Consider the following 15,528-nt stretch of genomic DNA (forward strand, 5'->3'; position numbering starts at 1 on the left):
CTCCCTCAGCCAGGCTGCCGCCTGGCAGTTGGATCTCAGACTGCTGCGCTAGCAGTGAACAAGGCTCTGTGGACGTGGGACCTGCCAAGCCAGGCATATGTGCCACATTTGCTTAATCCAGTCTATCATTTATGGACATTTGGGTTGGTTCCAAATCTTTGCTATTGTGAATAGTGCTGCAATAGACATACGTGTGCATGTGTCTTTATAGTAGCAAGATTTATAATCCTTTGGGTATATACCCAGTAATGGGATTGCTGGGTCAAATGGTATTTCTAGTTCTAGATCCCTGAGGAATCACCATACCATCTTGCACAATGGTTGAACTAATTTACACTCCCGCCAACAGTGTAAAAGTGTCCCTATTTCTCCATGTCCTCTCCAGCATCTGTTGTTTCCTGACTTTTTTTTTTTTTTTTTTTTGAGACAGAATCTTGCTCTGTTGCCCAGGCTGGAGTGCAGTGGCACAGTCTGGGCTCACTGCAACTTCCACCTCCCGGGTTCAAGCAATTCCCCTGCCTCAGCCTCCCGAGTAGCTGGGATTACTGGTGCACACCACCATGCCCAGCTATTTTTTTTGTATTTTTAGTAGAGATGGGGTTTCACCATGTTGGCCACACTGATCTCGAACTCCTGACCTCAGGCAATCCACCCGCCTCAGCCTCCCAAAGTGCTGGGATTACAGGCAGGAGCCACCTGTAATTACGCGCCTGGCCTTTTCTAGACTTTTTAATGATCACCATTCTAACTGCGGTGAGACGGTATCTCATTGTGGTTTTGATTTGCATTTCTCTGATGACCAGTGATGATGAGCATTTTTTCATGTGTCTGTTGGCTGCATAAATGTCTTCTTTTGAGAAGTGTCTGTTCATATCCTTTGCCCACTTTTTGATGGGGTTGTCTGTTTTTTTCTTGTAAATTTGTTTGAGTTCTTTGTAGATTCTGGAGATTAGCCCTTTGTCAGATGTGTAGATTGCAAAAATTTTCTCCCATTCTGTAGGTTGCCTGTTCACTCTGATGGTAGTTTCTTTTGTAATACTGGCAGTTTCTTATTGCTTACTTGCTTTTAATGATGCTCAGGATTGTAGGATACAGAGGACCTGATGTAGAGGAACTTGCCAAATACTGGAATGGAACACGTTCCACTCTCACCCTTGAAGAAACAAACCTCCAAGGTTGTGAACAAATGTGTTGTAATTCACAAGTCTGTCCATTTTGCCTCCTACTGATATAAAATAACTGAGCATGGCTGTGATTTTTGCTCAAAAGTTTTCTTGGAGAATAAGAGAAGGTAATAGCAAAGAGGCTGCAGCCTAAAGCCACTGATATGTCGCACTTCTTCATGTCTCACCTGCTATGGGAGAAAGAAGAGGTGGTTGGATTGATTCTCAACAAATATGCCTGCCAGCGTTCAAATGGCTTTTCTTAGGTGAAGAAATGGATCACTGTGAGGTTGCTTCTCTTCTCTCTGCCATTTATCCCAGAGCAGCAAATACCAATCCTGTGATTAAACCATTTTTTATGGGGTTTGGAGTTATTCATTCAAATCTCATTCACTCAAGTTTGTTTCTGGCTAAGGAAAGCTGTTTCTTCTTTTGTCCATTGTTAGGTATTCCATGCAACAACAGAACTTTTAAGTGTGGCAATGATATTTGCTTTAGGAAACAAAATGCAAAATGTGATGGGACAGTGGATTGTCCAGATGGAAGTGATGAAGAAGGCTGCAGTAAGTAGAAATTCATTCCTTTGGGTTCCTGTATTCCCTCTTCAGTTTACCTGTTTGTTATATTTTCATTCCCTTCTTGGTGTATTTCCCTTGATCGAGGTTGCCATAGCCAAAACAAGAATAGTAACTATTGACAAACTGAGTCTGAAATTGTTTCTCAGAAATAAAAACTCTGGAATGGATTCTGTCTTCTTGATAACAGCATTAATGAATTAAATTTTTAAAATGAGAACTTTCACTTTTTAATAATTTTAATCAAGGGAGAAGATCTTAAATAAAAACCTTGTGAGAAAATAAATAGAAACTGGAACGCAGTGGATGACCTGTTAATGCCTTATGTTACTAACAATATCAAGTGCTGTTTCTTTAGGCCTGACTCAATAACTAATCTCCCACATGCTCCTATTAGTCATGTGGCTACTACTTGGCCATGTGGCAACATGTAAATTATACATCTTTACCAATACTATTTACACTAGCAAACAATTGCTCTGATAACTAGTTTTCCCTGTAGGTTTTCATTTGTCCAGGTCTTATAAATCTTTTCCCCAATCCTTTCTGTCACATCAGCACAACTTCAAAGAAATTCTCAATTCATTTACATTCCTCTTTACCTGACAATCTAAATCCATAGGCAGCTGTTTGTGTCAGTTCAGCTGTTACAGCAGGTCCCCCTCCTCCTCTCATCTGCGTTGTGGTATAGAGACTGTGTCAGGGCATGCTTCAGGAAGGAGGGAGTGGTTTGTTTGTATTGGTTTCAGACAGACTCACATGTTCTCTGTCCTCTAGATAAGGAGATTTCAAATTGCTACCTAGTGAGTCAGTTCCCAGCCAGCACTAAAACTGGCTTAACTTCTAGTTTTTCTTCCAAGTCTACCTTTAAATCACATGCCCTTTCTCCACCAAAGCCTGCAGCAGGAGTTCCTCCGCCCTTCACCGCATCATCGGAGGCACAGACACCCTGGAGGGGGGTTGGCCGTGGCAGGTCAGCCTCCACTTTGTTGGATCTGCCTACTGTGGTGCCTCAGTCATCTCCAGGGAGTGGCTTCTTTCTGCAGCCCACTGTTTTCATGGAAACAGGTAGGGCCTCACGGTCCTTACTTTCAAGTGGCACTCTGTGGCCATAGACAATATATCTGCCCTCAAATTGTGGGAAGCAGATCCCTGTTGGGGACATTCAATCAATTCAATTGCACTTTCATTTTTTGGATCCCACGTGTGTGACAAACATTTTTTTTTAAGGTATTATTGGTATAAAAAAAGCACAAAGGAAACATCAAGAATGAATAGGCTTTTACTAAGGCTGGGAAAATAAGATAGGGCTTTTAACTCAGAGGGAGCAAACTTAAGAGAATGTGTGGAGAATGTGGAGAAAAATGGGCACTGGAGAGTGACTGGAGAATGGAGGTCCCCAATGGGATTATGATGGGATAGATGCTCTTCCAGCCAAGGGTAAGAGGACATCTTAGAAAATAACCTCACTTAAAATTTAAACTTACTATTGGAATCTACTGAATCTTAGGTTAAAAAAATCATTCACTTCTCATTCTGCATTTTTTTTTTAGTATTTCAATGAAGTTACACAGTTTGGATATTTGTTTCCCTGAAAATTATAGGATTTGTGTTAATTATTAAGATAGCTTCACATCTGTTTGATCATGAGTCTCTAATGCTGTGAAACTGCTCCAAATAATGTATTAACCCTAATATTTCTTTGGGTGTCCATTGACACTCATGAGACATCAGCTAAGCAAATTAGTGACCAAAATTTTGGGGCTTCCTCATTTTTTTCACTCCCACTCTTTACCCCACTGCTATGCTGATGGAGATGGACGCTTCACATGGAGATTACAAGTTCTTCTGTGACTTGTGCAAGGTCATGGAGGTCAAGATTGGGATTCTGGAAGGACTGATGGGAATGGCAGTTGGTGACCCTATGAATGGGCATTGTTGAGCAGTAAGAGTAGTGATCATTAAGGCTTCCAGTAGTTTGCCAGAAGGAATTTCATTAAATTCCTGCTTATAGCACTTTGATTTCTAATCTATCTTGGTATTCATATCATTTGAATTTGGTAGTAGGATTCTCCATCAAATGCCATTGTCAGCATGAATAGGAAGAATGTAACAAATTAATTCTAGTTACCAACATTCTTGACCTGTGTGTGGTTCATGAAATACTAGTGGAAAGAAAATGTCCAGGCATTTGCTTAGGACACTGTTGAGTGAATTTTCTATTACTTGCCACTCCTAATACAGCTTACGTCATTTCTGACTTTTTGAGGGAGACAAGGGAGGCTCACAGTTACGCTTTCTGCCATGGTCCCCGGACAAAGCCAGTGACTATAATAACACCCTGGAAGTCAGGCCCTTCTTTTTCAGCCCTCAACTCTTTAGAGTGCTTGTTTGCAAACTGTATGTGGTTCTTTAAGCTGCTAACTTTATGTTTCATTACTGTTCTATCAGGCTGTCAGATCCCACACCATGGACTGCACACCTCGGGATGTATGTTCAGGGGAATGCCAAGTTTGTCTCCCCGGTGAGAAGAATTGTGGTCCACGAGTACTATAACAGTCAGACTTTTGATTATGATATTGCTTTGCTACAGCTCAGTATTGCCTGGCCTGAGACCCTGAAACAGCTCATTCAGCCAATATGCATTCCTCCCACTGGTCAGAGAGTTCGCAGTGGGGAGAAGTGCTGGGTAACTGGCTGGGGGCGAAGACACGAAGCAGGTGTGTGTATGAATGAATGGTCATGCCCTTCCCCTGCAGAGGATGATAAGGTGTTTATGTAGTGCTTTAGGGTTCACAGAGAGGGTTTGTGTATATGATCTCCTTTGAACCTCCTGACAACTCTGGAAGGTTGGATTGGAGGAGGGTACTGTTATTTCTTTTTAATGATGCTATCCACCTGCTTTAAAAGAAGCAGGGCTCACCTTATAAAGAGGGAGAGGACTGTGTATGAGCAAGGCAGGATTGACTAGATAGTCATGGGCCCTTTTCAAACTCTGAAGGTTATGCTATGTTATTCACTAGAGAAGGAGCAATTCCTCCCTTTTCATTCAAAGAAATGATTCATTTATAAAGGAGAGAAGGACACACATGCACATCCCACTATGTCAACTCATAGGCAACAGTCTGGGAGACTATGTGGGTATGACCTGTGCCTGTGCAATTGGCCAAGGGATGAGAGTAAGGGCTGAACTTCAGACTGCCCTTAGTTTCCAGACCAGAAACTCAGGCCTGGAGGTTATACCTCCAGGATTTGGATTTGGTCCACCCAGAGGAGATACCTTTTTGCTATTTCTCTGACGGGAGAGGACATCTTTTCAATATGCATAAAGATCAGGCTGTATAGTAGGGAAGTCCCTACATCTACCCTGCCAAGGTTTTTCATGGTCCAGGATTCAAGGTGGGATTCTGAATATATAGTGAGGGGAAGAATCCAATGCTTTGTGAATGTATCCCCAAACGCTAGTGCTAATATTTTCCCTTGATCTTTCAATCACCTCACCTTCTTTTGCCATCCTTTTCAAGGGTTTAGGACACGTACAGCATCTGTAATTCCTGAACCTTGCCCTGTAGCCTCGTTTTGACACTCTAAAGTGTGGGCAACTTCTCAAAGGCAGCTTCTCAGTGCTTTCATTTAGTGATTGAAGTAGTAATACCACCAGCTTGGGTCCACTGAAGTCTCAGGGTCCCAAGGAGGGAAGGCAGCTGACTGTGAACACTTGTAACTTTGATAGGTTACTGTGCTCAGTGCTTTGATTACATTATCATATATCACAGGAGAAAAGCATCTGCCCAACCAACTTATCATGAGATGTTTTCTTTATAAGCCTGGGTATGTGTGTGTACACTTATTTTTCTGAATCATCTTAGCCAGGTAGGTTCAAAAGGAAGTGAAACAGCTATTTGCAAACTGTTAGGTTTTTATGGTTCATCAGAGACTCCCATATATCAGTTATGCTGCTCCATTTAAAGAGCTCTCTTGAATAGTAGATATTAGTAATAACTGTTGCTGACTTACCATCCTACGGAAAACAGGAGGGAAATGGTGAGGAATATGGCACAGTTGTTCAAGTAATTGAGTCAGACCTTGGGTCTGAATCTTGTGTTACTTGCTAGTGGTGTGTCACTGGGCAAGCCCTTTAATCTCCTAGCACTCGATTTCTTCATCAGCAAAATGAGGATAATAGTAGAATTTACCTCAAGGGAATTGCCGCTATGAGGGTAAAAGGAGATAATGTGTGTTAACTTTTCAAATGAAGTCCTGAATACATGCGGCCATTACCACTAACATCATTTCTACTTCCAATGTGTTTTGCAGATAATAAAGGCTCCCTCGTTCTGCAGCAAGCGGAGGTAGAGCTCATTGATCAAACGCTCTGTGTTTCCACCTACGGGATCATCACTTCTCGGATGCTCTGTGCAGGCATAATGTCAGGCAAGAGAGATGCCTGCAAAGTAAGTCATTGTACCTTTCCCTTGCCTAACATGTTGTGCTTTCCATAAATGCTTTCTCACTTAATCTACATAACACTGGGAAATAACCAGGGCAGGTATTTCCCTGAATTCACTTGAGCTGCTCAGATATTATTTATCATCCAATTGCCTAAGATCTTGGAGAGGTGTTGAAATAATTTATTCTATAGAACGCAGTTTTCTATAATGTGCTCCATGTATTTTCCTTCAATATTTAGAGGATGAGGTCAGCATTCATCATTCTGCCATAATTTTCTTATAACCAATTTATTTCCTATTTCCTTAGCAGCTGCCATTTAATTTCTAAAATTTGAAGGATTTTATTTACTCATTCCTTTGAAGTATATGCTGGTGGAAAGAGGAGAGGAATGGAGAGGTGACAAAGAATACTCATTTGTAGTTCTCTGGGTAGGCCCCTGGCAGTGGTAAAGTTGGAAGTCACCTTTGGGGTGACATTTCTCGGAGCCTGAGATTCCAATCTATGCAGTTACCTACATGATTGCCAAAGAGTAAATAGATGATTTAGAGCAAACTTGTCCAACCCACGGCCCACAGGCCACATGCAGCCCAGGACAGCTTTGAATGCAGCCCAACACAAATTCACAAACTTTCTGAAAACATCATGAGATTTTTTTTTGCAATTTTTTTTAGCTCATTAGTTATCATTAGTGTTCGTACATTTTATGTGTGGCCTGAGACAATTCTTCTTCCAGTGTGGCTCAGGGAAGCCAAAAGATTGCATACTCCTGATTTAGAGGGTGAGTAGGACAGTGGGAGCTGTTCTTTCATCTTTCCACAAGCTTAGCCATGATGCCACAAAAACTCATCCTATAATAATGACTTCTGTCTTCTGAGCTCCTATTTTGTGGCAAGCACCGTGCTAGGTTCTTTACATAAATTCATTCCAATCATTCTTTTTTCCTCATTTTATAGAAGAGGAAACTGGGCACAGAGAGGGTAAGTAAATTGCCTAAGGTCATACAGCTAGTAAGTGTAAATGTCTGAGCTGGGATTTGAACCCTTGCCTCTCTAATGCTAAGGGTACTCTATTTTGGGTGCTTCCCATAGCTAGTCGGTTACACAGCCCTGTTCCACACAGCCACAAGTGTTTACTTGTTAAACTTAGTAGAGTTGATGTGGTGGCAATTAAAATAAAGAGCCCAGCTTCCCTACTAGTTGGAATTTTCCTAATCAGGTATAAGATCATAATTTGGATACATGGGCAAATTTGTTGCCTCTGAGTAAGTTGCAAGATTATCTACCCTCTAAAATAGGAAAATAAAACCTAGATATTATAATTTAAAGGACTAATACTGTGGAAATTATGTTTATACTTTGAATTGTTTAAGCCTTTGCTTAGAGGAATTGAGATATCAGAAAGGACTCTCAAGTGAGAGTGATTTGTTTGTGATGACTGTGGACCAGCAGTTGTTAGGGTTTTTTCACTGGACCTGGCTAACTAAACAGGTCTCTTCTTCTCCATGGGGCTATGAGCTAACCACTAAAGTTGCATGGCCCAGAGATAGAAGTCAACCTTCCAAGATAACCATGCCTCATAAGGTTGTTGTGAGGATTAAATGTCTCTAAACGATTCTTAGCACATAGCTAGCACTAAATAAATTTTAGCCCTCACTACTACTACTACTACTACCACCACTACTACTACTACTACTATTACCACCACCACCACCACCATCACCACTAGTATTACTGAGGTTTATTCTTTGTTTAGGGCTATGTGAGAGTTGTTTTCTCCAGTAAGAATCTTCCAGTGTTATTCTTAGCCTAAAGAATCATGTTTCGTCTAATGAATGCAGCTGTTTGATTATAGGAAGAATAATTATAAAATGATAGAAGTTTCACATTAGTTTTTCACACTTCCCAAATTACAGAGTGATTAGCCAAGCAAAAACATGTCATTAGAGGACTCTTGAACACAATTCATTAGATACAATAAAGATGAAACTGATGATCATGGGACCAATTTACTTTATACTTACATTTTTTGTGTGTGTAGGGAGATTCGGGTGGACCTTTATCTTGTCGAAGAAAAAGTGATGGAAAATGGATTTTGACTGGCATTGTTAGCTGGGGACATGGAAGTGGACGACCAAACTTTCCTGGTGTTTACACAAGGGTGTCAAACTTTGTTCCCTGGATTCATAAATATGTCCCTTCTCTTTTGTAATTGTACCAGTTGTATTTTTACTGTGATTTATGTTAAAAATAGATACTTTAAAATGATGCAGTAATTGGCTGGGTGCGCTGGCTCACACCTGTAATCCCAGCACGTTGGGAGGCCGAGGCGGGCAGATCACGAGGTCAGGAGGTCAAGACCATCCTGGCTAACATGGTGAAACCCTGTCTCTACTGAAAAAAAAAAAAAAAAAAAATTAGCCGGGCGTGGTGGCAGGTGCCTGTAGTCCCAGCTACTCGGGAGGCTGAGGCAGGAGAATGGCATGAACCCGGGAGGCGGAGCTTGCAGTGAGGCGAGATCAGCCACTGCACTCCAGCCTGGGTGACAGAGTGAGACTCCATCTCAATAAATAAATAAATAAATAAATAAATAAATAAATAAATAAAATGATGCAATAATTACTAATAAAATGAGTCCCTTACATTTTTTTAACTAGAAATGTCAAATTGCATACATTTAATAATAAAATTAGTCCCTTACTTTTTTTCAACTGGAAGTGTCAAATTACATACATTTAATACTTATTGAAAGACAGGTTAATATGTGTTCCATAAAAAGTTTTCCCAAGGAAATAACTATATTCATTCTTAAGTACAAAAGGCTATTGATTCAGAGATGGAAGAAACCTAAAGTAATGTTATGAACCAAGCCTCTAAAATAAAATAAAAAAATAAGGGAGATGTTCAGGCATCCCTATTTTATGTCCCTATTCATGTTCAGATACTTATAAAAATTACAGCAAATTTGACTTATTAAAATAAGAAATTCCAGTAAAAAACATACCTGACCTTCAGCATTTTCAAGAAACTAAATGCACAAAATATCTCCTTTGCAAATGCAAATGAAGCAAAACTCAGTTATCGACAGAATAAGTACCTATATTGTTGCTTTACAAACCAATTTTATCTAAACATATCATAGTGGACCATCTTCAGCCATGGCACATGGTAATGTTGTGTACAGAGAAACCAATCAACCAACCAACAAAACTGACAGCAACCATTACTAAATGGCAGAATAAAGCATCATGGTAATTGAATCGAAAGCATGTATATGAGATTCAAAGAAATTGTTGTAATGCTGGTCAGCAAAAAAAAGGCAAAGAAATTTTTGAATGATTGTTGCAAAAGTGAAATTTTTCAGAAATATTATCATCTGGCTTTTGGTTCTTTTTAAAACCCCAGTGGATGAGACTTTCTTTTACTTTCAGACTCTTATAATACCTTACATAGTTGTAAGCCTATAGCACACTCTCAATGTATCTTAGTTCTTGATTTATTTTATCTTGATTTAGAAGGTTTCATACTTGATCTCAGAATATTCTTTTCATTAACAGAAGCCAGAATTGATAGTACCACCAAATGAGTGAAAACAACAGAAAAAAGAGTGATATTATTTGTTTTCCTGTTATAAAGTCAAAGAAGTAATAAAAATACTAACATCAGGTAGTGTCTATTAATAGAATAATGCACAGAACCTTAGAAAATCTTAATGTAACAGCAAAAGGAGAGAGAGCAAAAGGTGTCATCTCCCAGGCCAGATAAATTTTTCAGTTCATAGAATATACTTTGATTTGTTAAAAGACTGTTCCCTCAGATTAAGGATAAAGCATCTTAATAATACCTCTATGAATGGGCCCCAAAGGTTTCAGTAAACTGGCTATACGATAGTGCAATTCAGAGGGCCAAGTGTACCACTAATTCAAAAGGGAGGACTTTGCTACTGAATCCACTGGATAGAAGAGCGAATTAGGCTGATAGTTCTTATAATCTACATTATTTTGTCTGGATGGCTGTGACCTATATACAAGGTGAGTTGTACTTTTTACTTTATGGTCATTTCTAGGGCATAGAATTGCTCTTCACAAAATACATGAAAACCTTTGCATAAGTCTGTGATCTCGGTTAGGGGATGGAGGAGGGCTGGCATGATCCATCAGATTCATCAGAGGGAGTTTTTGAAAGCACATGTATGTACTACCTCTATAGGCCCTCACTGGTATTAAAGTGAGTACACGATATGCTGTAGCAGTGCTGGGGCAGGGAAAAGGTTGAAAAACAAACATAACTTGCTTGGATATTGCATGTTAAGATGCATTTAGAACCTGAATGATGTGGGAATATCCACTTCATTCTTGCAAAGGTGTGAAGTAAGGCAAGTCCCAAGAATGGTTTTGTTAGCAGAGCAAAATGGCCTTCATAAATTAAGACAGAAGCATTTCACGTGCCATATTATCAGGGAGAACTTGTAGGGACTCATGCCTTCTTTCACAGTGCCTTGAAAATAGCACAGTGAAGCACCACAAGCAACCATTTCTCAATTGTTTTCTACTTGATTAGCTTGAGTGGCTGACCCAGTTGCTGACGTTCGGAGTAGTATTGCTTGCCATCTGACAACACACAGGAACAAACTGTTGCGTATTCCAGAGTCACAGACCTATTTGAAGGGAATGAGATGCCTTTGGTGTATTGGTGATATCACTCTGATGATGTTACTTTGTTTTTCAGTTTATATGATAACCATTTAGAAAATTATTTGCTTCTAAAAAGGATTTAAAAAGAAGAGCAAGTACTATTAAAAAAAAGCAACATCAAAAATCTTATATTGGTCAGCAAATATAAGTATGTTTTAATTTTTTAATGTTACTTAAATTAGACACTTCAAACAAACTAAAGCAATTGAGTCAATAATAATTTTAAATTATATTAAAGAAATCTATTTTTGAAATAATAGTATATTTAAAAAGCCACCCTTATGTAAATGAATTCTGAAGGAATTACAAAAACAAATCTAGGTAGAGTTTGGTTCCTCATTCACAAATTCTTGACTTTCATCAGACTCGTTTAATCTAAACTTGGTTGTACCTCTAGGGAGAAACACCTCTTCCTAACTTATTCTGAATCCTTAGTGTGGAGTGAAACTGGCAGGATGAAGAAAGTCTTCAGGTAGGGTTGGGACTCTCATCTGCATTCTAGGTCAGCTGTCTGGAGATTAAGAAATTTGCAGTTAACAGGAACAGGAACAGGTTGCAAATAAGAATTTAGTTCAGGTAATATGGGAGGTGTCAGCAAGTGTCAGTGATCAGGAAAATAGGACAGCACAGGAAGAAAAACCAATATCAAAAGAAAACATATTGAATCAAGGGTTAGTGCTGGGTGCTAAGGGTCGGGGGAGAGTGGGTATTAGCCACAAAGACACAGTCAGGGAATGTAATGGAGCATTTACTGAGATCCTTTCATTTTTCAGGCACAGGAATAAATTCTTTACCTTAATCTTCCTGACTCTGCTAGGTAGGAATCATTTTATAAGAAAACAAGCAGACATTGAACAGCTTGCCCAAGAACACACAGATAGTGAGAGTCTAAATTTGATCCTAGTTCTGTCTGCCTTCAGAACTTATATTCCTTCCACTGTAACATGAGAACAAGGGTTAGGCATATGGAATTATAGAAATGCATTTAAATCTAATTACAGAGTATATAAACCTTGCTTAACAGTACTCAAAAGGCATTAGAAGATGTGGTTTAGGGTGTGCTTGAGACAGGAACAGTTGCTTTTTGATTCTCTGGGGGAGTGAGGGAGGCTTTAGGTATCTGTGCATGGAGAAATCAGGCATGGAGATAGCTACTATCCATCTGAAGTGAGAAAAAAATCTCACATTTAGGATGAACTTCTGCAATCAAATAAGGGAACTATGAGAAAAGTTTTCTGGACCCTGGGTAAGGATGGGGGTGGGGAGAATCAGAAGTTTGAGAGGTGTCAGTGCTTCCAGTCAGGTCTGCATGTTTTCGTGACTACAGATCCTATCAAGACCTCCCTGCAAATTCCCACACCCTTCAATGGCTCTAGTTCTTTATCAGTCTCCAGTCCCTTTTAGGCCTAGGAGTGTTAACAGCTTCTCGCTATTGCTAGTCCCTGGGTACGTCACCATGCCTTGTTGATTCCCTTAACCCTTGCTCCTTGGTTAAAAAACCTGTTCAAAAATCCCAGCTGAGAATGCAGCCTGATTCTTGCAAGATCCACCTGTTGGAGCAGAAGTCAGTGCAGGTCAGCAGATGAGTCACTGCAGACTCCCCTTAGCAGGCAGATGGATCCAAAGTTCAGGGGATCTGGTAGCAGGCATCAGACTGCTGGAGACAGGATATCTAGGCTGTGTCTCAACATCAGGTACTGAAGATGCCAGACTTTTGGACTCAAGTCAACATATTTGGAGTGGAGCTGATTTATATGCTTCTTGTTAATGGTCTGGTCTTAATGTGTGTGTGTGTGTGTGTGTGTGTGTGTGTGTTGCGTGGAGGGTGAGAAGTAAGGAGCAAGACTATTCGGAACAGAAGCTTGAGAGTTGAGGCCCTTGGCCCAACCCATGCTGTGCTTAACAAACATAATTCCATGCTAACTAAACCGGAAGTTCTGAACTACAGATAGGGTGTCAAGGAGATTGTGTGTGCGCGTGCATTGTGTGTGTGTGTGTGTGTGTGTGTGTGTAAGGCCCCTCCTCTCAAAGATAAATAATAATGGTCATTTATGAGTGCTTGCTGTGTCAATCACTGTTCTGAGTGCTTTGCTTACAACAACCCTTGTAATCCTGGTAACAACTACATTTAGGAGGGTACAAATATTACACCAACTTTCCAGATGAGGACGTTGGCACAGAGAGATGAAGACCGAGGTCTCACAGTGAGGAACCCTCTGGGTGGAGAATAACCCAGGTACACTGGTTTTAGAGTCCGCTGTCCCCAGCACCACACAATACTGTCTCTGTGCCTGACTCTGGACTTGCGAGGAAGTGTGTTGGTGTATATTATTCACCTTCATGCACTCAGAACCTAGCACCATGCTGGCACGAGGCATGGTTATTTGTTGATTGAATGAATGCACTTTTGCTAGGCCGCGAGGACTGTGGCAAACCCCAACAACCAACAGTTCGTAGGGTTAGATCGCAAACTTTTCTCCGTTGGACGGTGCTGCCGGGCCCACCCTTTCCTTACCACAGCCCGGCACCCAGGCAGCCCCTAAACGGAGATGGTCTGCATCTGCAGGCGCGGGGAAAGGCATAGCAGGCAGCGCCCTGAACAAATCAGAAAAACAGCCTTCGGCTCTGGAGCCCACTCCGGCACGGCCTCAGGTGCTCTACCCCGCGGGATCCAGGGAGTGGCCGCCACTCACAGTTGCCCCTCCTGTCCGCTCCGGTCCGCTCCCGCCGCCCGAGGTCCGCGACGCCCCGCCCAGTGGGTGGAGTGTGAGGCGGGGAGGTCGCTCGACTCGCCGGCGCTGTGGCCTCCCGCGGAGCCGCTCAGACTTTCCCTGCCGGCACATGGACCTGGCCCAACCCTCACAGCCAGTAGACGAGCTGGAGCTCTCGGTGCTCGAGCGGCAGCCAGAAGAGAACACGCCTCTCAATGGTGCCGACAAGGTCTTCCCTTCTTTGGACGAGGAGGTCCCCCCGGCCGAGGTAAGGTCCCCTTGGCGCTGGCCCTAACTTGCCGGCGGCGGGACAGTAGTAGGACCCGGGCCTGGCACCCGCGAGTTTCGGGTTTCCAGTCAGGCGGGGCGTCGACGGCGCCGAGCGAGGGTGGGGCGCGCTCGAGTGCTCTGAATGGAGCCGAGTCACCGCGACACCTTTCGGCCCGAGCAGTCCCCTCCCCAGCCCCTGGGGTCCTCCAACCCCTCTGACCCCCGAGGCGCTTTAGGAATCCTAGTGGTGAGGTGTGGCCGCTGCTGTCTTCAGAGAGGTATTCCGGAGATGGAAGTAGTTTTTTAAAGTTATGTAACTTTTAATTCAGTTTTTCTTTTTTCCAGTAGGGAGAATGAGAATGACAAATTGAGTATCCTCCTTCTCTCAGAATCTCTTCTGTCCTCCTCTTACCTTCACTGCCTTGCCACTTCTCTCCCTCCCCTCCACCCACCTCGCCGCAGCCCCCAGCCTTCTTCCATGCCTACCATCCGCCAAGCACTTTCTGCCTTCTCCCAGCCTGGCCATTGGATTCTGCCGGAAGAGAGATAGGGGAGAGCACAGAGGAGAGAAAGCGGTCAGAAGGGGAGAAGGGGTAGGGCTGGCGTAGAGATGGGGCGGGCGGGTTAGGGGGTCGGCGCGGGGGAGGTGAACTTGCCCTGCTCAATTGAAAGAAAATAATTTCAAAGTTCTTGTCTCGAAGGTTGAGACTTCGCCCACCTTGCTTTTACCTCCTCTCAATCCCTAAGGAAGTCCCTGGCTATTTTTAGGCCAAGCTCTTTTCTGATTCATCCCTAGCAATGATGGGAACATTATTCACTCTCATCAAAGACTTGTAAAACATCAGAGCTTTGACTTCCCAGCCATCCACCTTCTGATTAACTCCTAAGATTGGCTTGAGGTTTTCTGGGTGCACAGAACTCCCCATATAGAGCCCCGACCTGATCTTTCTAGGCCCCACTCCTCCACCCCCAACTTTTTGGCTGCCCAGCTGTTGATTTTAGGGATAAGCAGGAAATTCAAAAGTTGAAAGCATTGCTTTTGTTCTACATTGATTCCTGGAACTATTGCAAAGTCTGCTTTTATAGGTACTCTGGAGAGTAATTTGGAAACTTATTTCTGAATAAAATATGAATGCCACAGAAGAATGAAGGTTGAACAAAGATAGTCTGGTCACCAGTGCAAGTGGCCACAACTGTGAACTGGCTGTATGAGTCCTCCAGGGCGGTGTCCAGGAATGGGAGTTGGAAATACTTGCCTCAGATTAGATGGACCCGCACACCCTAAAGACTCCCTAGCTTGGGGCTGAATCCAGAAATCTGGTGACAGTTTTGCCACTAAGAAGTGTGTCCCAGAGGCAAGCCTGTCCCGTAGTGGTAATGTGTGCCTACTCGGCCTTCTGTGAGGCCTGGGAATGCCTTGTTGAAAACAGGTGGTGGGTAGAACAAGCCAAATCCATGCAGGGTTATCAGTATTCTGTAATTGTTTAGCACCTACCCTGTAGCAATGGTTCTTTAATGTTCTCATGACGTCCTTGTTAGTAAGGTATATACAGATACCCTGGACTTCTTTGTAAGTTAGCTTTGTAGGTCACCCAATAGGAGAGCTGTCCTCAGTAACAGGATGGAGTGAAGGTGAAGGGCTACAGGAGTACTTGGAGTGTGTTCAA

At 42.3% G+C, this 15,528-nt stretch overlaps 2 protein-coding genes across 9 annotated transcripts in view, besides 4 other annotated features; both read left to right on the top strand.

Annotated features, from left to right (window-relative positions):
- TMPRSS7 (transmembrane serine protease 7) overlaps positions 1 to 8,583 on the top strand; it is a 46,534-nt gene extending 37,951 nt beyond the window's left edge. For all 5 annotated transcript variants that reach the window (NR_026734.1, NM_001395507.1, XM_011512754.2 and 2 more), the window contains 5 exons: positions 1,610 to 1,726; positions 2,635 to 2,806; positions 4,190 to 4,458; positions 6,056 to 6,192; positions 8,228 to 8,583. Coding sequence is in view for 4 of the 5 variants with exons in the window: in NM_001395507.1 (NP_001382436.1) it covers positions 1,610 to 1,726; positions 2,635 to 2,806; positions 4,190 to 4,458; positions 6,056 to 6,192; positions 8,228 to 8,398 (866 nt within the window). In the remaining variant the exon portion in view is untranslated. The remainder of the gene's footprint in view (positions 1 to 1,609; positions 1,727 to 2,634; positions 2,807 to 4,189; positions 4,459 to 6,055; positions 6,193 to 8,227) is intronic.
- Positions 13,365 to 13,881: an enhancer, noted in NCBI's record as "H3K27ac hESC enhancer chr3:111804898-111805414 (GRCh37/hg19 assembly coordinates)". NCBI's record gives its function as "activates a minimal SCP1, AML or CMV promoter by ChIP-STARR-seq in naive and primed H9 embryonic stem cells {active_cell/tissue: H9 hESC(naive and primed)}" and the evidence as "EXISTENCE:reporter gene assay evidence [ECO:0000049][PMID:30033119]".
- Positions 13,398 to 13,447: a silencer, noted in NCBI's record as "silent region_14600". NCBI's record gives its function as "represses an Ori minimal core promoter by ATAC-STARR-seq in GM12878 lymphoblastoid cells {active_cell/tissue: GM12878}" and the evidence as "EXISTENCE:reporter gene assay evidence [ECO:0000049][PMID:35858748]".
- Positions 13,498 to 13,547: a silencer, noted in NCBI's record as "silent region_14601". NCBI's record gives its function as "represses an Ori minimal core promoter by ATAC-STARR-seq in GM12878 lymphoblastoid cells {active_cell/tissue: GM12878}" and the evidence as "EXISTENCE:reporter gene assay evidence [ECO:0000049][PMID:35858748]".
- Positions 13,568 to 13,617: a silencer, noted in NCBI's record as "silent region_14602". NCBI's record gives its function as "represses an Ori minimal core promoter by ATAC-STARR-seq in GM12878 lymphoblastoid cells {active_cell/tissue: GM12878}" and the evidence as "EXISTENCE:reporter gene assay evidence [ECO:0000049][PMID:35858748]".
- The window catches only part of C3orf52 (chromosome 3 open reading frame 52), a 49,993-nt gene continuing 48,167 nt past the window's right edge, over positions 13,703 to 15,528 (top strand). For all 4 annotated transcript variants that reach the window (XR_924171.4, XR_007095726.1, NM_024616.3 and 1 more), the window contains exon 1: positions 13,703 to 13,859. Coding sequence is in view for 2 of the 4 variants with exons in the window: in NM_024616.3 (NP_078892.3) it covers positions 13,722 to 13,859 (138 nt within the window). In the remaining 2 variants the exon portion in view is untranslated. The remainder of the gene's footprint in view (positions 13,860 to 15,528) is intronic.

The sequence above is a fragment of the Homo sapiens genome, chromosome 3, assembly GCF_000001405.40.
Source record: "Homo sapiens chromosome 3, GRCh38.p14 Primary Assembly".
Lineage (NCBI taxonomy): Eukaryota > Metazoa > Chordata > Mammalia > Primates > Hominidae > Homo > Homo sapiens.